The sequence below is a fragment of the Homo sapiens genome, chromosome 1, assembly GCF_000001405.40.
Source record: "Homo sapiens chromosome 1, GRCh38.p14 Primary Assembly".
Classification (NCBI taxonomy): domain Eukaryota; kingdom Metazoa; phylum Chordata; class Mammalia; order Primates; family Hominidae; genus Homo; species Homo sapiens.
In genome coordinates this window covers 185619714-185643848 of record NC_000001.11, presented here as the reverse complement: position 1 = coordinate 185643848, position 24135 = coordinate 185619714, and the positions used below count along the sequence as shown (strand labels likewise).

The 24135-nt window shown below is 38.9% G+C and overlaps 2 long non-coding RNA genes across 2 annotated transcripts in view, besides 1 other annotated feature; one reads left to right on the top strand and one right to left on the bottom strand.

The window, feature by feature from the left end:
• LOC107985239 (uncharacterized) overlaps window positions 1–24135 on the bottom strand; it is a 202893-nt gene that overhangs the window by 37057 nt on the left and 141701 nt on the right. The gene's annotated exons all lie outside the window — the stretch shown is intronic.
• Window positions 6617–6666: an enhancer, noted in NCBI's record as "active region_2245". NCBI's record gives its function as "activates an Ori minimal core promoter by ATAC-STARR-seq in GM12878 lymphoblastoid cells {active_cell/tissue: GM12878}" and the evidence as "EXISTENCE:reporter gene assay evidence [ECO:0000049][PMID:35858748]".
• The window catches only part of LINC01350 (long intergenic non-protein coding RNA 1350), a 70110-nt gene continuing 61335 nt past the window's right edge, over window positions 15361–24135 (top strand). The window contains exons 1-2 of the long non-coding RNA NR_110793.1: window positions 15361–15442; window positions 17294–17357. This is a non-coding gene — a long non-coding RNA (long intergenic non-protein coding RNA 1350). The remainder of the gene's footprint in view (window positions 15443–17293; window positions 17358–24135) is intronic.

Genomic DNA, 24135 nt, shown 5'->3' with positions numbered 1-24135 from the left:
AATTCCCACCTATGACTGAGAAAACGCAGTGTTTGGTTTTTTGTCCTTGCAATAGTTTGCTGAGAATGATGGTTTCCAGCTTCATCCATGTCCCTGCAAAGGACATGAACTCATCACTTCTTATGGCTGCATAGTATTCCATGGTGTATATGTGCCACATTTTCTTAATCCAGTCTATCATTGTTGGACATTTGGGTCAGTTCCAAGTCTTTGCTATTGTGAATAGTGCTGCAGTAAACATACATGTGCATGTGTCTTTATAGCAGCATGATTTATAATCCTTTGGGTATATACCCAGTAATGGAATGGCTGGGTCAAATGGTATTTCTAGTTCTAGATCCCTGAGGAATCACTACACTGATTTCCACAATGGTTGAACTAGTTTACAGTCCCACCAACAGTGTAAAAGTGTTCTTATTTCTCCACATCCTCTCCAGTACCTGTTGTTTCCTGACTTTTTAATGACCGCCATTCTAACTGGTGTGAGATGGTATCTCACTGTGGTTTTGATTTGCATTTCTCTGATGGCCAGTGATGATGAGCATTTTTTCATGTGTTTTTTGACTGCATAAATGTCTTCTTTTGAGAAGTGTCTGTTTATATCCCTTGCCCACTTTTTGATGGGGTTGTTTGTTTCTTGTAAATTTGTTTGAGTTCATTGTAGATTCTGGATATTAGCCCTTTGTCAGATGAGTAGATTGCAAAAATTTTCTCCCATTCTGTAGGTTGCCTGTTCACTCTGATGGTAGTTTCTTTTGCTGTGCAGAAGCTCTTTAGTTTAATTAGATCCCATTTGTTAATTTTGGCTTTTGTTGCCATTGCTTTTGGTATTTTAGACATGAAGTCCTTGCCCATGACTATGTCCTGAATAGTATTGCCTGGGTTTTCTTCCAGGGTTTTTATGGTTTTAGGACTAACATGTAAGTCTTTAATCCATCTTGCATTAATTTTTGTATAAGGTATAAGGAAGGGATCCAGTTTCAGCTTTCTACATATGGCTAGCCAGTTTTCCCAGCACCATTTATTAAATAGGGACTCCTTTCCCCATTGCTTGCTTTTGTCAGGTTTGTCAAAGATCAGATGGTTGTAGATATGCGGCATTATTTCTGAGGCCTCTGTTCTGTTCCATTGGTCTGTATCTCTGTTTTGGTACGAGTACCATGCTGTTTTGGTTACTGTAGCCTTGTAGTATAGTTTGAAGTCAGGTAGTGTGATGCCTCCAGCTTTGTTCTTTTGGCTTAGGATTGACTTGTCAATGTGGGCGGGCTCTTTTTTGGTTCCATATGAACTTAAAGTGGTTTTCTTCCAATTCTGTGAAGAAAGTCATTGGTAGCTTGATGGGGATGGCATTGAATCTATAAATTACCTTGGCCAGTACCTTGGCCATTTTCACGATATTGATTCTTCCTACCCATGAGCATGGAATGTTCTTCCACTTGTTTGTATCCTCTTTTATTTCATTGAGCAGTGGTTTGTAGTTCTCCTTGAAGAGGTCCTTCATGTCCCTTGTAAGTTGGATTCCTAGGTATTTTATTCTCTTTGAAGCAATTGTGAATGGGAGTTCACTCATGATTTGGCTCTCTGTTTGTCTGTTATTGGTGTATAAGAATGCTTGTGATTTTTGCACATTGATTTTGTAACCTGAGACATTGCTGAAGTTGCTTATCAGCTTAAGGAGATTTTGGGCTGAGACGATGGGGTTTTCTAGATATACAATCATGTCATCTGCAAACAGGGACAATTTGACTTCCTCTTTTCCTAACTGAACGCCCTTTATTTCCTTCTCCTGCCTGATTGCCCTGGCCAGAACTTCCAACACTATGTTGAATAGGAGTGGTGAGAGAGGGCATCCCTGTTTTGTGCCACATTTCAAAGGGAATGCTTCCAGTTTTTGTCCATTCAATATGATACGGGCTGTGGGTTTGTCGTAGATAGCTCTTATTATTTTGAGATAAGTCCCACCAATACCCAACTTATTGAGAGTTTTTAGCATGAAGGGCCGTTGAATTTTGTCAAAGGACTTTTCTGCATCTATTGAGATAATCATGTGGTTTTTGTCTTTGGTTCTGTTTATATGCTGGATTACATTTATTGATTTGCGTATGTTGAACCAGCCTTGCATCCCAGGGATGAAGCCCACTTGATCATAGTGGATAAGCTTTTTGATGTGCTGCGGGATTCAGTTTGCCAGTATTTTATTGAGGATTTTTGTATCAATGTTCATCAAGGATATTGGTCTAAAATTCTCTTTTTTTGTTGTGTCTCTGCCAGGCTTTGGTATCAGGATGATGCTGGCTTCATAAAATGAGTTAGGGAGGATTCCATCTTTTTCTATTGACTGGAATAGTTTCAGAAGGAATGGTACCAGCTCCTCCTTGTACCTCTGGTAGAATTCGGCTGTGAATCTGTCTGGTACTGGACTTTTTTTGGTTGGCAAGCTATTAATTATTACCTCAATTTCAGAGCCTGTTATTGGTCTATTCAGAGATTCAACTTCTTCCTGGTTTAGTCTTGGGAGGGTGTATGTGTCAAGGAATGTATCCATTTCTTCTAGATTTTCTAGTTTATTTGCACAGAGGTGTTTATAGTGTTCTCTGATGGTAGTTTGTATTTCTGTGGGATCGGTGGTGATATCCCCTTTGTCATTTTTTATTGCGTCTATTTGATTCTTCTCTCTTTTCTTCTTTATTAGTCTTGCTAGCGGTCTATCAATTTTGTTGATCTTTTCAAAAAACAAGCTCCTGGATTCATTGATTTTTTGAAGGGTTTTTTGTGTCTCTATTTCCTTCAGTTCTGCTCTGATCTTAGTTATTTCTTGCCTTCTGCTAGCTTTTGAATGTGTTTGCTCTTGCTTCTCTAGCTCTTTTAATTGTGATGTTAGGGTGTCAATTTTAGATCTTTCCTGCTTTCTCTTGTGGGCATTTAGTGCTATAAATTTCCCTCTACACACTACTTTGAATGTGTCCCAGAGATTCTGGTATGTTGTGTCTTTGTTCTCATTGGTTTCAAAGAACATCTTTATTTCTGCCTTCATTTCGTTATGTACCCAGTAGTCATTCAGGAGCAGGTTGTTCAGTTTCCATGTAGTTGAGCAGTGTTGAGTGAGTTTCTTAATCCTGAGATCTAGTTTGATTGCACTGCAGTCTGAGAGACAGTTTGTTATAATTTCTGTTCTTCTACATTTGCTGAGGAGTGCTTTACTTCCAATATGTGGTCAGTTTTGGAATAGGTGTGGTGTGGTGCTGAAAAGAATGTATATTCTGTTGATTTGGGGTGGAGAGTTCTGTAGATGTCTATTAGGTTCTCTTGGTACAGAGCTGAGTTCAGTTCCTGGATATCCTTGTTAACTTTCTGTCTCATTGATCTGTCTAATGTTGACAGTGGGGTGTTAAAGTCTCCCATTATTATTGTGTGGGAGTCTAAGTCTCTTTGTAGGTCTCTAAGGACTTGCTTCATGAATTTGGGTGCTCCTGTATTGGGTGCATACATATTTAGGATAGTTAGTTCTTCCTGTTGAATTGATCCCTTTACCATCATGTAATGGCCTTTTTTGTCTCTTTTGATCTTTGTTGGTTTAAAGTCTGTTTTATCAGAGACTAGGATTGCAACCCCTGCCTTTTTTTGTTTTCCATTTGCTTGGTAGATCTTCCTCCATCCCTTTATTTTGAGCCTATGTGTGTCTCTGCACACGAGATGGGTTTCCTGAATACAGCACACTGATGGGTCTTGACTCTTTATCCAATTTGCCAGTCTGCACCTTTTAATTAGAGCATTTAGCCCATTTATATTTAAGGTATTGTTATGTGTGAATTTGATCCTGTCATTATGATGTTAGCTGGTTATTTTGCTCGTTAGTTGATGCAGTTTCTTCCTAGCTTTGATGGTCTTTACAATTTGGCATGTTTTTGCAGTGGCTGGTACCGGTTGTTCCTTTCCATGTTTAGTGCTTCCTTCAGGAGCTCTTTTCGGGCAGGCCTGGTGGTGACAAAATCTCTCAGCATTTGCTTGTCTGTAAAGTATTTTATTTCTCCTTCACTTATGAAGCTTAGTTTGGCTGGATATGAAATTCTGGGTTGAAAATTCTTTTCTTTAAAAATGTTGAATATTGGCCCCCACTCTCTTCTGGCTTGTAGAGTTTCTGCCGAGAGATCCGCTGTTAGTCTGATGGGCTTCCCTTTGTGGGTAACCCGACCTTTCTCTATGGCTGCCCTTAACATTTTTTCCTTCATTTCAACTTTGGTGAATCTGACAATTATGTGTCTTGGAGTTGCTCTTCTCGAGGAGTATCTTTGTAGTATTCTCTGTATTTCCTGAATTTGAATGTTGGCCTGCCTTGCTAGATTGGGGAAGTTCTCCTGGATAATATCCTGCAGAGTGTTTTCCAACTTGGTTCCATTCTCCCCGTCACTTTCAGGTACACCAATCAGATGTAGATTTGGTCTTTTCACATAGTCCCATATTTCTTGGAGGCTCTGTTTGTTTCTTTTTATTCTTTTTTCTCTAAACTTCTCTTTTTTTTTTTTTTTTTTTTTTTTTTTTTTGAGACGGAGTCTCGCTCTGTCGCCCAGGCTGGAGTGCAGTGGCGGGATCTCGGCTCACTGCAAGCTCCGCCTCCCGGGTTCATGCCATTCTCCTGCCTCAGCCTCCCAAGTAGCTGGGACTACAGGCGCCCGCCACTACACCCAGCTAATTTTTTGTATTTTTAGTAGAGACGGGATTTCACAGTTTTAGCCGGGATGGTCTCGATCTCCTGACCTCGTGATCCGCCCGCCTCGGCCTCCCAATCTAAACTTCTCTTCTTGCTTCACTTCATTCATTCCATCTTCCATCGCTGATACCCTTTCTTCCAATTGATCGCATCAGCTACTGAGGCTTGTGCATTCGTTGCATAGTTCTCATGCCATGGTTTTCAGCTCCATCAGGTCCTTTAAGGACTTCTCTGCATTGGTTATTCTAGTTATCCATTCATCTAATTTTTTTTCAAGGTTTTTAACTTCTTTGCCATTTGTTCGAACTTCCTCCTTTAGCTTGGAGTAGTTTGATCTTCTGAAGCCTTCTTCTCTCAACTTGTCAAAGTCATTCTCCCTCCAGCTTTGTTCCATTGCTGGTGAGGAGCTGCGTTCCTTTGGAGGAGGAGAGGTGCTCTGATTTTTAAGAGTTTCCGGTTTTTCTGCTCTGTTTTTTCCGCATCTTTGTGGTTTTATCTACCTTTGGTCTTTGATGATGGTGATGTATAGATGGGTTTTTGGTGTAGATGTCCTTTCTGTTTGTTAGTTTTCCTTCTAACAGTCAGGACCCTCAGCTGCAGGTCTGTTGGAGTTTGCTGGAGGTCCACTCCAGACCCTGTTTTCCTGGGTATCAGCAGCAGTGTCTGCAGAACAGTGGATATTGGTGAACCGCAAATGCTGCTGCCTGATCGTTCTTCTGGAAATTTTGTCTCAGAGGAGTACCCGGCCATGTGAGGTGTCAGTCCACCCCTACTGGGGTGTGCCTCCCAGTTAGGCTACTTGGGGGTCAGGGACCTACTTGAGGAGGCCGTCTGCCTGTTCTCAGATCTCAAGCTGCGTGCTGGGAGAACCACTACTCTCTTCAATGCTGTCAGACAGGGACATTTAAGTCTGCAGAGGTTATTGCTGCCTTTTGTTTGTGCCCTGCCCCCAGAGGTGGAGCCTACAGAGGCAGGCAGGCCTCCTTGAGCTGTGGTGGGCTCCACCCATTTCGAGCTTCCCAGCCTCTTTGTTAACCTAGTCAAGCCTTGGCAATGGCGGGCGCCCCTCCCCCAGCCTTGCTGCTGCCTTGCAGTTTGATCTCAGACTGCTGTGCTAGCCAATGAGGGAGGCTCCGTGGGCATAGGACCCTCCAAGCCAGATGTGGGATATAATCTCCTGGGGTGCTGTTTGTTAAGCCCATTGGAAAAGTGCAGTATTAGGGTGGGAGTGACTGGATTTTCCAGGTGCCGTCTGTCACCCCTTTCTTTGACTAGGAAAGGGAATTCCCTGACCCCTTGCACTTCCCTGGTGAGGCGATGCCTCACCCTGCTTTGGCTCATGCAAGGTGCGCTGCACCCACTCTCCGGCACTCCCCAGTGAGATGAACCCGGTACCTCAGTTGGAAATGCAGAAATCACCTGTCTTCTTCGTCACTCACCCTGGGAGCTGTAGACTGGAGCTGTTCCTATTCGGCCATCTTGGCTCCAACCCTCTATTTCCCTTCTTGAAGGACACTAAAGACTCTAATCAAAAGATTATTCAAGTCTATGCATAGTTCAGATAATAAATAAACCACCCTCCAATTTTTCTCAAAAGTATTCTTTTCCTTTTTGCATAATTTTCTCCCCTAAAAGGAACATTTTTTAAAAATGTCACCATGTCACAACCAGAAAAAAGTCAATTAAGTTTCCTAGTATGGAAGCCCAACCTGATGAAGTACACTTGTTTACATATTTATTTCTCCATTTCTTTCTTTCTCTTGTTACTTTTGAAAAATAAAAGCAAAATCCTAAACTGCCCCCCAACACCCAGCTGACTAAAAGGACCCCCTCTCAACCAAGGGGACAACAGAGAAACCTTAAACACTGAGTTTCCGACCATGATGGGATGAGAGGTCAGACATGCCTTAGCATGCCCCTTCCTTATTGATCTTTAACCAGAATTCTTTTCCAAGGAGTAAGCAGAAACCAGCTCTAGAAAACAAGAAACAGACAACTCATTTCTTTACCATCTTCTGCCAGTTATCTGAGGCTGCTACCAGACTCTACCTGCCTCTTTGCAGTTTCAACATGACAATTCACCAGTTTCACAATGCACCTCTTCCTAAAAACTGACCACCATGTCTAGACCAGTTTTGAGTCACTCACAGAGGATGTGCAGTGTGGGTTTTTGTGTCTTCTGCTTCACCTGTTGACATCAGAGGGCTGAAAACTGCACCCTCAGATCATGCTAACACCACCATTTTTTCAACATGTTACTCATGAAAAAGCATGAAGCTCAATTGCACATTTGCATATTCTCCCTTCATAAATATTCATGACTTCTCCTTTACCTTATTGAGTATGTATGTTTGGCTACCCTATTCAGCATGAATTCCTGTCTTACACTTTCCCTTCTTGAAGGGCCTGTTACCAGTGCTGTCATAGACTACACTTCCAAGCCTGTCAGAATGGCTACCTGTAGGCTACAATCCTTTATAAGAAATAAAGCTCTCCTTTCCTTTTATGAACCTCCTCATTCTTCAATTGACAATCTCAATTTTCCTGGTGACAGTGATTCCAAAGTATCATAGAAAGCCTTGGTTGTTCTTGCCATAACTTTCAGAAGTCAAAGTGTCCTAGTTTTTATTTGGAGCCAACTATGAATATCAGACATGAATTTATCTTAACTCTTTTGTTTTTGTTAAGCTGTTTGTTTATATTTTTAGCTTGTGACATGTCTTGAGATAATGAGTTCCATGTCCCATATAAGAGAAAATCATTTATCTCTTACAGATAGAGTAAATAGGCTGGGAAAGGAAAAGTCCAGGATAAAGTTTTCAGTCTTGGGAATCCAGACCTGGACCTGGCCTTGAAGCCAAAGGACTCTGGGCAGCTGAAGAATATTCTGTAATTTTTGGTTCATTTGCCTTCCCCCTCCAGGGTAGAACCTGTGTCTTCGTACTTTCAGCACACAACAGTACCTACCATATACTAGATCCACAATAACTGTGCTGTGAAAAACAATGAATGAATAGATGGATAAATGGAGGGAGGGAGGGAAGGATGTCTGTTATGAGGAACTGGAGGGAATGTGAGTGGGACAATTTTCCTACTTCATAATTTTGGCAATAGAATATGTTTCTGTACTAAATTCTCAACTCCCGAATTTCCCACAAAGCTCATAATTTTTATATATATATATATACACACACACACACACATATATATTTATACACATATATATACACACACATATATATATTTCATTCCAGAAGTCTGCTCTTCATATTTTACCTATAAAATTTGCTTATTGTTTTTTGTATGTTCCTTTGCTTTAATAATTAAAGTAGAAATATTGTAGCTGAGAATATAAGAAAATGTATGGTTAAAGTGAATTTACAGAAATAACAACTGATTGCAAGAAATACATCATTTTAGCCTGTAATCCCAGCAGTTTGGGAGGCCAAGGTGGAAGGATTACTTGAAGCCAGAAGCTCAAGACCAGCCTGGGCAACAAAGCATTTCTACAAAAAGTTAAAAAATTAGTCAGGCATGATGGTGTGCACCTGTAGTCCTAGCCACTCATGAGGCTGAGATAGGAGAATCACTTGAACCTAGGAATTTGAAACTGCAGTGAGCTATGATTATACAACTGCACTCCAGTCTGGGCAACATGAGACCTCATCTTTATTAATAATAATTATGAATAAAATAAAAAAAATTCTTAAAGAGATATATTATTTTAGTTACTGGGAATAGCTATAAACAGGAATATGCAAGAAAACAATTTAGAGAAAATAAAAAAGAAGCTGAGTGGGTTGGAACAGCAGCAGGGAAGCACTGACAAGGGAAAAATTTCCATCACTAGCTACAATATTGCCTAGCTTGCGGAAATCAGTTAAGTTATAATTTCCAAGTTCCTCATTAACAAAATAATAAAAATAATATCTATTTTGCAAAACACACAAAATTGGAGTAAGGATCCAAATTAGATGATGTTCAAGAATTAATCTATTAGCTTCCCTTTTTCATGTTTCTCAAGAGCAAGAATTCTGTTTCATTTACCTTTCTACCCACAGTTTCCAACACTTGCTATATTAGTCTGTTCTCACACTGCCAATAAAGACATACCCGGGACTGGGTAATTTGTAAAGAAAAAGAGGTTTCGTGGACTCACAATTCCACATGGCTGGAGAGGCCTCACGATCATGGCAGAAGGCAAAGGAGGAGCAAAGGTATGTCTTACATGGCTGCAGGCAAGGGAGCATGTGCACAAGAACCACCCTTTCTAAAACTATCAGATCTCACTATCAGGAGAACGGCACAGGAGAAACCTGCCCCCATGATTCAATTACCTCCCACCAGGTCCCTCCCATGACATGTGGGGATTATGGGAGCTACAATTCAGGATGAGAGTTGGTGGGGGACATAGCCAAACCATATCACATGCCCAGTATGTAAATGCATGAAAGTTGTTTAAGGTGTTTTAATCATTAGGCCATAGATTGTCAAGTTGAGATCAGAGAAGAAATGCCAAAAACGAAAGGCAAATTTTTCCAAGTCAATGTTCGTCTCTTTCTGTGTGTGCATGAGTGTAGTAATAAAAGAGAAAGGAAAAGAGAGGAAATTAGGGCAGTTTCAGTAGGGTGGTCAAAGCATTATCAAAAAGAGATATAGCCAGCCTAAGCAACATGGTAAAACCCAAACTCTACAAAAAATAGAAATATTAGTTGGATGTGGTGGCATGCACCTGTAGTCCCAGCTACTCAGGAGGCTGAAGTGAGAGGATCACCTGAGCCCAGGAGTTCGAGGCTGCAGTGAGCCATGATTCTGCCTCTGTACTCCGGCCTGGGTGACAGAGTGAGACACTGTCTAAAAAAAAAATAGAAGACACATAGTTGCCTGATTTCTTATGACAGTGGCATTAAAGACATTGTGAGGGGAAGACCGATTCCATTTGTAAAGGAGGAAGATCCAGCTGTCTGAAGGTAGTGAGTTATCTCATTTGATTATTCAGTCAGTTACAGATCCAACTCCTTGTTCTACTCTTTCCCCGTTTCTCAGTACTACACTTGACTAATTTTAAAAAAAAGGAAAAGGAAGAAAAACAGAGAAACAAGGGAAAGGCATCCCCTCCCCCACTTGTCATCTTTCTTATCCATTTATCCAATGTATGCTCTTTTGTCCCATCATGTCCCATCTCCTGAGTGATGCTCTTCCCAATGGCTTTATTCCATACCGATTTCTATGTTCTCTCAACTCCTAAATTTTTTTTAATGATTTCCACCTCTCTGTTTGGCACGTACCCCCTGCTATTTTCTCATTGCTTCACCTCTCTGACATTTTTTCAGGGTCTGCTAATTGTCCATCAAACTCCATTTTTCCCTTCTTTTATGGTTCCTATACCCTCTTGCAGTTAGGCACCTAAAAGATTATGTTCTTTACAATGGAAGGAAAGTGGAAGTAATGTATGCCACTGCCAGGCTGGGCCCATAAAACCTCCCAGCAGTATCTTTCCATGTTGTTCCCCCTTCCTGAAAGCTGAATGATGTCAGTGAAGACCTGAGTAACACGTTGAAGATGGTGGCTTTCCAGCAGCTTGCGTTCCTGAATGATTACAATGAGTGAAGGCTTCTACCACCCCAGAATAATCAATAATAACCTTAACAATTACCCAAGGGAGAAATAAACTTCTACTCTTTTTGAGACATAACACTTTGGTTCTATTGGTTACAGTCTACCCTAACTAATAAAGACAGGTATAGCTCTTCTCTCTATCCTCCAAAAGACCACCAGGGTGGCTAAATAGTAGAAAGGAGAGCGTTATTAACAATGTCAGTTTGCAGACCAGAAAGAGATAGTCTCCAGAACGAAGCAAAAATGCTGTCTTCAAAACAGGAACAGGTAAGTCGGGCTTTATGCCTCACAGCATCTGTATTACTCAATAGAGTCATACATACTCAGCAGCTTTAGGGAACAAGATAAACATATTTATTAAAGGAGTCAAGCACATGTGCAATGGGGACACATATATGTAATATACATCCAATGTTCACTTTTGGTGGGGTTTTAGCATTAAAATGAGGTGGAATTTGGCTTTTTGCATCAAAAGGTGAACTATAGGACACAAAGACAGTTTGTTCACAGCCATTATAAATGGACTGAAACTGGCTTAAGTGCTGCAGTTGCTTATTAGAAAAGAATGTTCGCAAGACCAGTCCCCTGTCCAATCAGAGTTGTAGTGGTTTGGGTTGTAAGTGAGAGTTAGGAAAGCTCTGACAATTTGGCTGATATTTCCTATTGTTGGGTAATTTAGCAAGAGTGTGGTTTGTTCTTGTAGCCATAAGAATTTAGGAAGTTGCCATGCCAGCCAAGCCCTGAACTGTCAACCTGTAGACAACTTTTGTTTCTTTAACCTTAGGCTTCATTTCAGTTGATAAAGGGGTGTCTGTTTGGGTCTGTCAGATCACATCTCCAATTAGATAACATTTCTCAATCACACCACCCACTCCAGCACTATGTACATAATAGGTAAATGATAAACACTAAGATTATTGATATTTTAAAAATTAAAAATAAATATTGCCTGTGAACCCAGAAAATCTGAGACAGGTCTCAGTTTATTTAAAAAGTTTATTTTGCCAAGGTTGAGAAAAGTGTGCCTGTGACATAGCCTCACGAGGTCCTGATAACATGTGCTCAAGGTGGTCAGAGCACAGTTTGGTTTTACACATTCTAGGAAGACATAAGACATCAAGCAACATATACAACATGAACATTGGTTTGGTCTGGAAAGGCAGGACAACTGGAAGCAAAGGCAGGAAGACTAGAAGTGGGGAGGGGGTTTCTAGGATAAGTAGATAAGAGACAAATGGTTGTATTCTTTTGAGTTTCTGATTAGCCTCTCCAAGGAGACAATCAGATATACATTTATCTCAGTGAGCAGAGGGGTGACTTTGAATAGAATGGCAGGCAGGTTGGCCCTGAGCAGTTCCCAGCTTGACTTTTCCCTTTAGCTTAGTGATTTGAGGGCCCCAAGATTTATCTTTCTGTCACATGCCAAATTAAAAATCAGTGAAACAGAGAAAAAATAGTATCATAGCTACACATCTAGGATGGAGAATAGCATTGGTGATGAAGCGGAAAATATGGGAGACAGGCATACTGCTCTGGAAAGATAGAATTTAGGAGATGTTAAAAATAACTATTGTTACTATCATTTAAGTAGTATTACTGTGCTTCCTAGAACTGCTAATAGAGATTCAAAAAAATTCAGGTTTTTGGTAAAGCATATGGGTCCTTTAAGAAAAAAATTATACTTCTTCTCTTAAGTTATTTGTTATCAGAATCTTTGAAAATGAAATATTAGACATGTGAAAAACCATAAACAGCCATAAATGTTATAGAAACTACTGAGCTGGATTTTTTTTCAAGTACCATTATATAGGCCAGAGGCCTTTGTGCCTGTTGACTTGTATTATTATATGGATGATCTTAGTTTCCATTAATGTTTATGTCATAATTTAAATTGGGCTTTTACCTGTAAATGTTATTTAATTAAAAATGCCTCTGGGCACAGTGCTGCACACCTCTAGTTCCAGCTACTTAGGAGGCTGAGGCAGGAGCATCACTGGAGACCAGGAATTTAAGCTGTGGTGCACTAAGATTGTGTCTGTGAACAGCCACTGCACTCCAGTCTGGGCAGAATAGCAAGACCCTGTATCTTAAAAAATATAAATTATTGAAGATCTACACATTCTCAAATCCTTGGCAGATATGATGAGATTTCTACAAACAAAATATAAAAATTGCCAGCAGTATCACTGTAAAAATCTACTGAAAAGCAATTGGTAAGAACTCTTCTTAAAGTTGAAACAGATTTAATATTTAAATTGATTTCTAATCTATTTAGTCAAATATCACCCAGCCTAAGAGTTGTATGTTGAGAGGTCTGTAACCTATCTGAAAACAAGCAAAATTGAGCATCCTGTGCAGCTACTATAGGGCTCTTGACAATTCATTGGCTCAAACACAGATCTTCAACTTCTCACTGACGTGCTGGTAAAACAAATTGGCTTGAGTGCCAAGAAAGGGAAAACTAAAAAAACAAAAACAAAACACAACAACAAGCTGAAGTACAAAGAGGTTTGTTTCCTGTCCTTAGTGGAGGCAGAAGGAGGTCTTCTAGATAAAGAGGCAGAAGTGAGATATTAGGGTCCACCGTATTCAGAATATTTCTAGTAAGAGATTGGAAATGGGAAGAGTGGCATTTGTTAGCCAATCACAGAAGAATCCACTTATCCAAAGAATGTTTAAAAGGCTAATGTGGCTCCAATACCTAAATCCAGCAAATTTGATTAATTTGTGAGATTGTTGAAGGTCAATTTCTCCAATGTTGTCAACAGCGTGGAGAAAACATTGTTTGTATTGCAGAATTACCTTCATCATCCCAGCAATCTAATGTTGGAGATTTCTCTGATGATGCATTTCAAGATTACCCACTGCAGTTGATGCTTTTGTGTCCTCATGTTCCCCATCTACACAAATTCAACCAACCATGGATCCAAAATATTGTTTAAAAACTAAAACAATAAAAATTAAGAATACATCAATTAAAAATAATACAAATAGGCTGGCCTGAAAGCAGTGGTGTTTACAACTAACTGATCACAACCAGTACAGAGTTCTTTGTTTTTTCTCCACTCCCACTGCTTCATTTGAGTAGCCTTAAAAAAATAAAATAAAGTAAAAATAATACAACATAACAGCTATTTATACAGCATTTACACTGCATTATGTATTACACGTAATCTAGAGGTGATTTAAAGTACACAGGAAGATGTGCTTAGGTTACATGCAAATATAGCCAAGCCCTGCATGGCAATATTTGGGTCAAGGACAGACCGCATATCGTATGGTGGTCCCATAAGATTATAGTACCATATTTTTACTGTACCTTTTCTATGTTTAGATATGCTTAAGTAGATAAATACTACCTACATTTGTGTAAGTATACTCTATGATGTTCATTCACACAACAACAAAATTGCCTAAGGACGCATCTCAGAACAAATTCCCATAGTTCAGTGACACTATGTACTATGCCATTTTATGTAAGGGATATGAGCATCCTTGGATTGTGGTGTCTTCACGGGTCCTAGGACTAATACGTTGTAGATACCAGGGGATGACTCTATATGGAATTTATATTGGAGCCCTTGTACTTCTCAACTAAATCAAATTTATTCTTTTAGTAGCTCAATAAAATATGCTTTCACCTGAAACTATAACACATCATGGCACAAAACTTAAATTGCTTTCACTATAAATAGTGGGCAAAGTACACATATAAGATGTGTGTTGATAGAAACTAAAAAGCACATCCTTTCTATGTTCTGACCTGCTAGGTTTTTTTTAATTCCAGAAAGTTATTTGATAACCACATAACATCTCAAGAACTAGTTGGGTTTGAATTTCAGCTCTGCCTTATATTAACTCTGGGATCTTAGGTAATTTATTCAACTTTTCCTTACCTCAGTTTCCCATTTATAAGATGATTAATATATATGCAGTACTGCTTTGCATATAATAATAGCTCAGTGAACCACAGAGATGACCCCCCAAATAGATATTCTATTCCATACTTTGTCCTGTTGAGCCAATTGCTCTACCACAACCACAGCAACATTTAAATATTTTGCGGGAATCTTAAACACAGCATGCCCCAAATCACACTTATCATATTCTGACTGAAAACTGGTTCTTCCATTGTCTCCATTTTATTTTCTGAATTTGCTATAATTCTCCAATTTAAGCTAATTGGAAGCTCAAGTTGCTTCCCCAATTTTGGTACAGTTACCACATAGCTTTCTTACTCCATTTTAAGGGTTAAAGGATTTCAAATCTGAAATCTTGCACAGAATTCTGTCTGCAAAGAAAACTGCACAGAAAATTTATAATGGGATATTTGAAGAAAAAAATAGCTTATCCTGAACAGCACCAGAAGTTTCATTTTTTTCTGTACTGTTGTAACTCAGCAGATAATGTTTACATTTGTGTATATGTCCTCCAACACAAATAAGTATGGTTGCTAAATAATATTATGTCATTAAACTTCTTGTTTAATGCTTCTTCATTATGATTCATTATGATTGTTTAATGCTTCTTCATTATGATGTGTTAGAAGTTTTTCAAAAGTTTATACTTTGTCTCTTAGTGGCAATTAAAAAAGAAATAAACATGAACTCCCCAAATGAGCCACAAAAATAAATCAGCATGTCTAAATTTCAGAATGAGAAACAAAGATGCAATTCTCTCCTCAGACCAAACGAAGCAGAGATTTTCAAACTGCAGAGGTGCCACAGAAAAGGCTGAATTCTCAAGCATAGTGAGCTTAGACTTTATAGCTAAAATAGAAATTTCAGCTTTTAGAGCTGAAATAGAAGGTCTGAGCATTAACAAAACATTAGAACCTTGCATTTAAAAATTAGTATGAGAAATTTTTGTTATTGTGCTGAGACCCTTACACACATGATTTCTTCTAGCCAATACAGGCACAGATTCAACAAAGATGGTGCTTTATTGTGAAAATAGAATATTCACCTTGTCTTCTGACATCATAAAGACCACCCACATTTGCACAGATGCTGCTGCTATAGTACTTTCAGGCAAGGCCAAGGCTTCTTGAAAGGCTGGTCATGCCCCAGTGATCAATGAAGAACTCAGGGATATCCCAAAACTCAGGACTATAAGGTAGGAGAAAGACATTAACCCCTGGCCTGAGAATGAGATTAGAAACTTAATATGCCTCCCCTAAGACTTAATTCAAAGCAAGACTGAACCCCAGTGAACCAGTCACTGAATGGAAATTACCATACTTTCCCTTCCCCACTCACCTTTACTACTTTCTGCCAGATATTCAAATGAATTCAATCATAAAGCGATTCTCCCCTTTAACTCTTTTTCTTTTTGGGCTAATTAACATTTAGATTTTTTTTCTCACAATACATAAATTTACTTGTTTCTTGAGGCCCATCTAGAAAAATTAAAATTCAGCCAAGGCATCAACATATCATAGGAACTGTTTCCCAATTTCCATGGCAGAGGATAGAACACAGAAAATTCTTAGGAGCTGTAAGCAATTCAGATAAAAGGCTAAAAAGAGGGAGGCTGGATTCATATATTCCTCTTTGAACCTCAAGGGCACACAGTTGAGTTAATCCTGCTTCTTTGTCATCGCATGCTATCTCCACAGGCTCACAGAAGCTCTCATCCTTGTTTAATATATTTTTTTCTCTTCACCCCCATCCCCATTCCCATTTTCCTTCCTCCTGCAGAGGCACTCATTCCATTTTGTTTAATATATATCAGGTATATATGTATCTCTAAAAAATTGTAATATTTGCTTGCATCTTTATACATTTTAATCCAGACAAATGATACTACGTCATTGCTCAAATTCCATTTCTTATTTTTTTCACTCAGCACTGAATTTTTAGATGTATCCATGTTGCTGCATGTCTATTTAAGTCATTACTTCTGGCTGCAATGGAATATTCTAATGCATTCTTCCAGTGTGTCCTTTATCCATTTTCTAGTAATAAACACTTAGTTGCCGGCTACCAGAAAGATGGATTGAGTATTCTAATATATATGATGGGTTTCTCTGGAGTAAATAAACAGGAGTGTACATTTTGGCTCAAATAGTATATACAGATCAAATTTCCCTCTATGCTGCCAGACTGCTTTTCCAAATAGCTGTGCCAGTCTGGACTCTCTTGGGAAGTGTATTCCTTTTGTTGTTTACTTTTGCTTTTGTTTTTGAGACAAGGTCACACTGTCACCCAGGCTGGAGTACAGTGCTGCAAACGTAGTTCACCCAGCCTCACCATCCCAGGCTCCAGCGATCCCCCACCTCAGCCTCCTGCCTCAGCCTCCCTAGTAACTGTGACCACAGGCATGCACCACCACACCTGGCTAATTTTTTGGTTTTTTTTGTAGAGACAGAGTCTTGTTGTGTTGCCCAGCCTGGTCTTTGACTCCTGGGCTGAGCAATCCTCCTGCCTTGGTCTCCCAAAGTACTGGGATCACAGGCATGAGCCACTATGCCTAGACAAGAATGTATTCTTAACCAGCATTTGTATCATCTAACCTTCTACTTATTGTCAATCTGATCTGTGTAAATTAGGAACTTTAAAATTATCATTTATCTAATTGTAACCATAATAGGTTCATTTGCCCGATGTGCAGTGAGTCAATAAACTGAGACACTTGGGATACAGCAGAGACAGAGTTTAATACCTGTAGGGCAGCTGAATGAGGAGACCAGAGGAAACTTCAACTATGTCTCCCCAAGAGTTTTGGGGTTGTTTTTAAGAGGTATTAACTGGGGTTGAAGTGTGGGAATCACTGATTAGACGAGAAGCTCAGAGTGATACCTTGGGACAGGGAGATGAAGAAACTACATTTTTTGTTCTAAGTCTGTTTCTGGGTGGGTGGGGGATCTTCACACTGGTTGGCCTCAGACCTGCTGGAATTTGAAAACGCCGTAAGCTCTTGAGCAAGAAGCTCCTATCATTCTAACATCAGAAATTCTATCTACAGGCACAATGGGGGAGCAGGTACCAGGTGGCCAGCATCCTAAATGACTCTCAGCAGCTGCAGAGAAGTGAGTCAAAGTGCACCAGTGCACTCTGAATGATGCCTAACTATAATTCTGTCTAAAGCCTGGCTTATAATTCTTGTTAACCCAGTGAGAGTGGTTCCATAACTACTACTGAACTTGACATCTATCTATCTATCTATCTATCTATCTATCTATCTATCTTTTTTTTTTGGAGACAGGGTCTCACTCTGTAACCCAGGCTGGAGTGCAGTGGTGCAGTCTCGGCTCACTGCAACCTCCATCTCCTGGGCTCAAGTGATCCTCCCACCTCAGCCTTCAGAGTAGCTGAGAACACAGGTGTGTGCCACCATGCCCATTTAATTTTTTGTTTTTTGTAGAGATGAGATTTTACCATGTTGCCCAGGCTGGTCTTAAATTCCTGGGCTCAAGTGACCTGCCATTTTGGCGTCCCAAAATGCTGGTATTTCAAGTGTGAGGCACTGTGCCAGGCCCTCATCTCTTTTTACACATGCTAACAATTTGGGTTTCCTCTTCCATGACTTGCCAATTCATATATTTCCCCCATTTTTCTACTTGTTTTCTATCTTGTTCTCATTGATTTACAGGTATTGCTCATGTACTCTAGATCAGGATGTCCAATCTTTTGGCTTCCCTGGGCCACACTGGAAGAATAATTGTTTTGGCTTACACATAAAATACATTAACACCAACAATAGCTGATGAGCTAAAAAAAAAAAAAAATCACAAAAAATCTCATGTTTTAGGAAAGTTTATGAATTTGTGTTGGCCTGCATTCAAATTGTCCTGGGCCACATGCAGCCCATGGACCACAGGTTGGACAAGTTTGCCCTAAATAGTAATAATCCCTTGACTTTCTTAGACATTTGTTGGAGTGCAGAAAATGATTCTTTAAAACATGGTACTTGGGCATGGTGAGTGCTTCTGAAAATTGAAAGGCCTCAGAAATAAGCCTCAGAATCAATTTAAAATTGTCTTGGGTCCCCCGCCCCCAGCACAGGGAAACAGGGAAAGACTCTCTGGAATTTCCTTATCTGACCAAGAAAGCTTCTGAACAACAGCAAAGCAAAACAAGAAATCTCCTCTTTCTGTCTCTCTCTGTTTCTCTCTCTCTCTCTCTCATACACACACACACACACACACACACACACACACACACCCACAAATTGCCTTCTCTCCCCCACCCTCCACCCCACCCTTACCTCCTTACCTATAGTGGAAAAGACAGAAGAATGCAACCACATCTGGATGGATTTTTCCACAAGATAATGCCTGCTTCTCAGGCTCATTCAAATTCCAAAGGGAATTATTTATAAGTTAATTTCTGCCTTGGGTCCATTCATTCTCCCTAATAATTGTTTACTGCCCCTCAGAAGAATTGTCTGTATTTCCCCATCTCCCCCTTCCCCTATGAAAAAGGATATAGAAGCATCTGTACTCCACAGCATGGTGGGTAATTACTCTGTGATTTCCCCCCCGCCCATGCACATTAATACATTTGGATGCCTTTTCTCCTATTAATCTTGGACTTTTGTCAGTTGATTTTCAGGGAACCTTCAGAGAGCAAAGGGAAAGTTTGCTCTTGCCCACTAAAACTTGCAACTGTCCACAGTCTGTCATCTATCTTTTAATTTTATGGTGTCCTCTGTTGAACAGAAATCTAATTGTGCTAGAGTCAAAGCTATGTTTTTCTCCTTTTACAGTGCATTTCGATCCTGTTGAAGTAAGGTATTCCAATCCTAACTCACAAACATATCTTTCCATATTTTCTTTATAAGATTTTAGCTTTACCTCTCACTTTTAGGTCTTCAGTTCATTTAAACTTTATTTTCATATATGGTATGAGCTAGGAATCCAAATTTATTTTTCTCTACCTAGTGATTCTGTTTTCCTCAGTACCATCTACTAATAATCTATTCTTTCCTCATGATGAGATACCACCTCTATCATATGCCAACTTCATATTAATATGTGAGATATTCTGAGTTCCTTTTCTCTTTCATTGGCAGTTTCTATTTCTATGAAAAACCTCACTTTTTATTTTCAATTGCTCATATCTGATAAAGTATCCCTCTTTCTCTTCTTTTGTAAATTTGTCTTTTCATGTACCTTTATTTTTCTGTATAATTTTATAATCAATTTGTCAAAAGCTCCAAAACAATTTTATCAGGAAATTTATTAAAAAGACTTTGAATACATTCCTTAATTCGAAAGCAGCTATCATCTTTAAAATTCTACAGCTCCCCATAAATGAGCATGGTATACGGTACTATTGATAAAGGAGCTAAAAGAAATTATTTAGACAGATAGTGAAGGTAAGAGAGTCCTTGGCAGAGCTTCCCTTTTAACAAAAAGTAGCCCCCAAAATCATTTCTTTTCTAACAAAGAGCAGCCTGAAAAATAGAGCTGTAGACATAGATAAGGAAGCTGGAAGCTTGCACGGGTGGATGTCAGCAGCAGCGCCGATAGAGAAGGGCTACCTGAGGGCCAGGTATGTTCAACATGGAGGCTCCATTTTCCCTTTTCTTTGTCACCACGTGTACAGTAAAGGAAGAGGCAACATGGCACCAGCCAGTTAGAGAACCCATCTGCATAATAAAAGATTAAGGTGGGGTGGCCAGATTTTCACATGCTTTGCAAATGGCACACCTAGTCCGAACCAGTTCTCTAAATGTATCTGATACAGAATCAAATTTTAAATTAAAATGTTTATCTACAATAAAAGAAATTGACTGGTTAACCAGTTTTTCACATGTTATGCAAATGGCACATTTGGTCCAACCAATCTTTCGTGCCCTATGTAAATCAGACACTCCTTCTTAAGCTCATCTATAAAACCCCTTGTATTTCGCCGCAGACCAGAAAACCCACTTGGAGAGAGCTTTTCTCTTTCTTTTGCCTATTGAACCTCCGCTCTTAACCTCACTCCCATTGTGTGTCCACATCCTTGATTTCCTTGGCATGAGACAATGAACCTTGGGTATTACCCCAGACAAATGATGTCACTTCACTATCTTATAATATCTTCTTTTGTATCTTTCAATAAATTTCTCCTAAAATATTCTCCATAAACGTCTTGTGCATTCTTTATCCTATTGTCTCCTAGATCTCTTAGAATTTTTTTGGCTAATATGAATGTGATCTTATTTGCTATTATCTAGTCAATTTCTTTTATTGTAGATAAATATTTTAATTTAAAATTTGATTCTGTATCAAATACATTTGAAGAACTTTATTAATTTGAATAGTTTATGGATTATTTCAGTTTTTTTCTATCAATGAGTATATCATCTATAATCAATGGTATTCTTTTTTCTTTTTTTGAGACAGAGTCTCGCTCTGTCGCCCAGGCTGGAGTACAATGGCCTGGTCTCAGCTCACTGCAACCTCCGCCTCCCAGGTTCAAGCAATTCTCTTGTCTCAGTCTCCCAAGTAACTGGGATTACAGGCATGCACCACCATGCCCTGCTAGTTTTTGTATTTTTAGTAGAGATGGGGTTTCCTCATTTTGGCCAGGCTAGTCTCAAACTCCTGATCTCAGGTGATCCACCCATCTCGGCCTCCCAAAGTGTTGGGATTACAAGTGTGAACCACTGCACCCAGCCATCAATGGTATTTTCAGCTCTTCCATTTACTTCTTATACTTTCATTTCTTTTGTCTTGTTGCACTGTCCAGGACCATAATGGATGGATATATAGGCTGACGTATATCAGTTGGCTTCAGTTGTTTGGTGATATTCACCAGATCTATATTTTGCTATTTTATGGATATTATTTTCAATTTCTGAGGTAAGTATAATAAATTCTCAAACTATAATTGTTAATTTACCTACTTGTCCACACAGTTCTGTCTGTGATTGTTTTCTATATTTTAACTACATGTTGTTTGCTGTATATTCCTACTGGTTCATATCTCCTTAGCCCCTTGTTCCTTTTACCAGTATATATATTTCATACCTTTATGATTTTTCTTTTTATCTTATAAAAATATGAAATTCTTGGAATATTTGAAAGAGCTGAGTTTTAAAATGATCTAGACTGATTTGTGTGTGTAATTTCATTTCTTTGATATTTATAAGACCACTCAGCTGTTCTATATCTTCTTGAGTTAGTTTTGGTCAACTTTTGCTTTTGTTTTTTTAGTAGACTTTATTTTTTAGAGCAGTTTTAGGTTCACAGCAAAGTTGAGCAGAAGGTACAGAGATTTCCCATATACTCCCCATACATGCTGATAATGGTTTGGATACTTAGGCCCTCCAAATCTCATGCTGAAGTGTGACCCCTATGTGGAGATGGACCAAGTGGGAGGTGTTTGGGTCATGGGGGAAGATCCTTCATGAATGACTTAGTACTCTCTTCACAGTAACAAGGGGGTTCTCACTCTATTAGTTTGCAGGAGAACTGGTAGTTAGGGAGTCTTGGCACCTCCTCCTCTCTCTTGCCCCCTCTCTGACCATGTGACACACCTGCTCCCTTTTTGCCTTCTGCCATGAGTAAAAGCTTCCTGAACCTTCACTAGAAGCAGATGCTGGTGCCATGCTTCTTGTATAGTCTGCAGAACAATGAGCCAAATAAACCTCTTTCCTTTATAAATTACTCAGCCTCTGGTATTTCTTTATAGCAATGCACAATGGACTAAGACAGATGCATACGTCCTCTATGACCAACATCCCCCATCAGAGTGACACCATTGTTACAACTGATAAACCTACACTGACACACCATCATCACCTAAAAGTTTGCAGTTTACATTAGGGTTCAGTCACTCTTGGTATTGTGCATTCTGTGGGTTTGGACAAATGTATATACTATTATAGTATCATACAGAATAATTTCACTGATTTTTAAATTCTCTGTTCTCTGCCTGTTCATGCCTTCCTCTCTCCCACTAAGCCCTGGCAACCACTGATCTTTTTACTGTTATCACAGTTTTGTCTTTTCCAGAATGCCGTACAGTTGAAATCATACGGTATATAGACTTTGCAGGTTTTTATGCGGACATGTTTTTTGACTCCTTTGGGCAAATACCAAGGAGCAAGATTGCTGGATCATATGGTAAGACTATGTTTAGTTTTATAAGAGACTGCCAAATTATCTTCCAAAGTGGCTGTACCATTTGACATTCTTAAGAGCAAAGAATGAGAGTTCCTGTTACTCTACATCTTCACTAGTATTTGGTGTTCTCAGTGTTCTAGGTTTTGGCTGTTCTAATAGGTGTATATGGTACCTCATTGTTGGTCTAATTCACATTTTCCTAATACTGTATGATACGGAGCATCTTTTCATATGCTTATTTGCCATCTATTTATCTTCTTTGGTGAAGTGTCTGTTGACAGCTTTGGTATTTTTTTGATCAAGTTTTTGTTTCCTTATTTTTGAGTTTCAAGAGTTCTTTGTATGTGTTGGATAGCACTCCTTTATCAGCTGTTTTTTGCAAATATTTTCTCTCCATCTGTGGCTTGTCTTCCCATTCTCTTGACAGTGTCTTTCACAGTATAGAAATTTTTAATTTTAAGGAAGTCCAGCTTATCAAGTCTTTCTTTCATGGATCATGCCTTTGGTCTTGTATCTAAAAAGTCATCTCCAACCCCAAGGTCATCTAGATTTTCTCCTATGTTATCTTCTAATAGTTTTTTAGTTGTGCATTTTACATTTAGGTCTGTGATTCATTCTGAGTTTTTGTGAAAGGTGTAAAGCTTGTGTCTAGATTCATTTTTCTTGCATGTGGATGTCCAGTTGTTTCAGTGCCATTTGTTGAAAAGACTACGTTTACTCCATTGAATTGCCTTTGCTCTTTTGTCAGAGATCAGTTAACTATATTTACGTTGGTCAGATTCTAGGCTCTCTATTCTATTCCACTGATCTATGTGTCTATTGTTTAGCCAATAGTACATTGTCTTGATTACTCTAGCTTTACAGTAAGTCTTCAAAAATTGTAGAGCCAGTCCTCCACTTTAATTCTTCTTGAATATTAAAGTAGCTCTTTGGCTATTCTGGGCCTTTTCCCTCTTAAAATAAACTTTAAAATCAGTCTGTCAATATTCACAGAATAACATACTGGGATTTTGATTGGGATTGCATTGACTCTATAGATCAAGTTGGGAAGAATTGGAATCTTTATATATACACACATATATGTATATGTATACACACATATATATGTATATGTATACACACATATATATGTATATGTATACACACATATATATGTATATGTATATGTATACACACATATATATGTATATGTATATGTATATGTATACACACATATATATGTGTATATGTTTGGCTAAAGAATAGACACATAGATCAGTGGAACAGAATAGAGAGCCTAGAATTTGACCCACATAAATATAGTTAACTGATCTCTGACAAAAGAGCAAAACACATATATACACACATATATACACACATATGTGTGTGTATATATATATGGAATCTTCATATATGTGTATATATATATATACACATATATGAAGATTCCATATATATATACACACATTTCTTTATAGCAATGCACAATGGACTAAGACAGATGCATACTTCCTCTATGACCAACATCCCCCATCAGAGTAACACAATTGTTACAACTGATGAACCTACACTGACACACCATCATCACCTAAAAGTTTGTAGTTTACATTCGGGTTCACTCACTCTTGGTGTTGTGCATTTTGTGGGTTTGTACAAATGTATATACCATTATAGTATCATACAGAGTATGTGTATGTACTATATGTGTATATATATGAAGATTCCAGTTCTTCCCAACTTGATCTATAGATTCATATATATATGTATG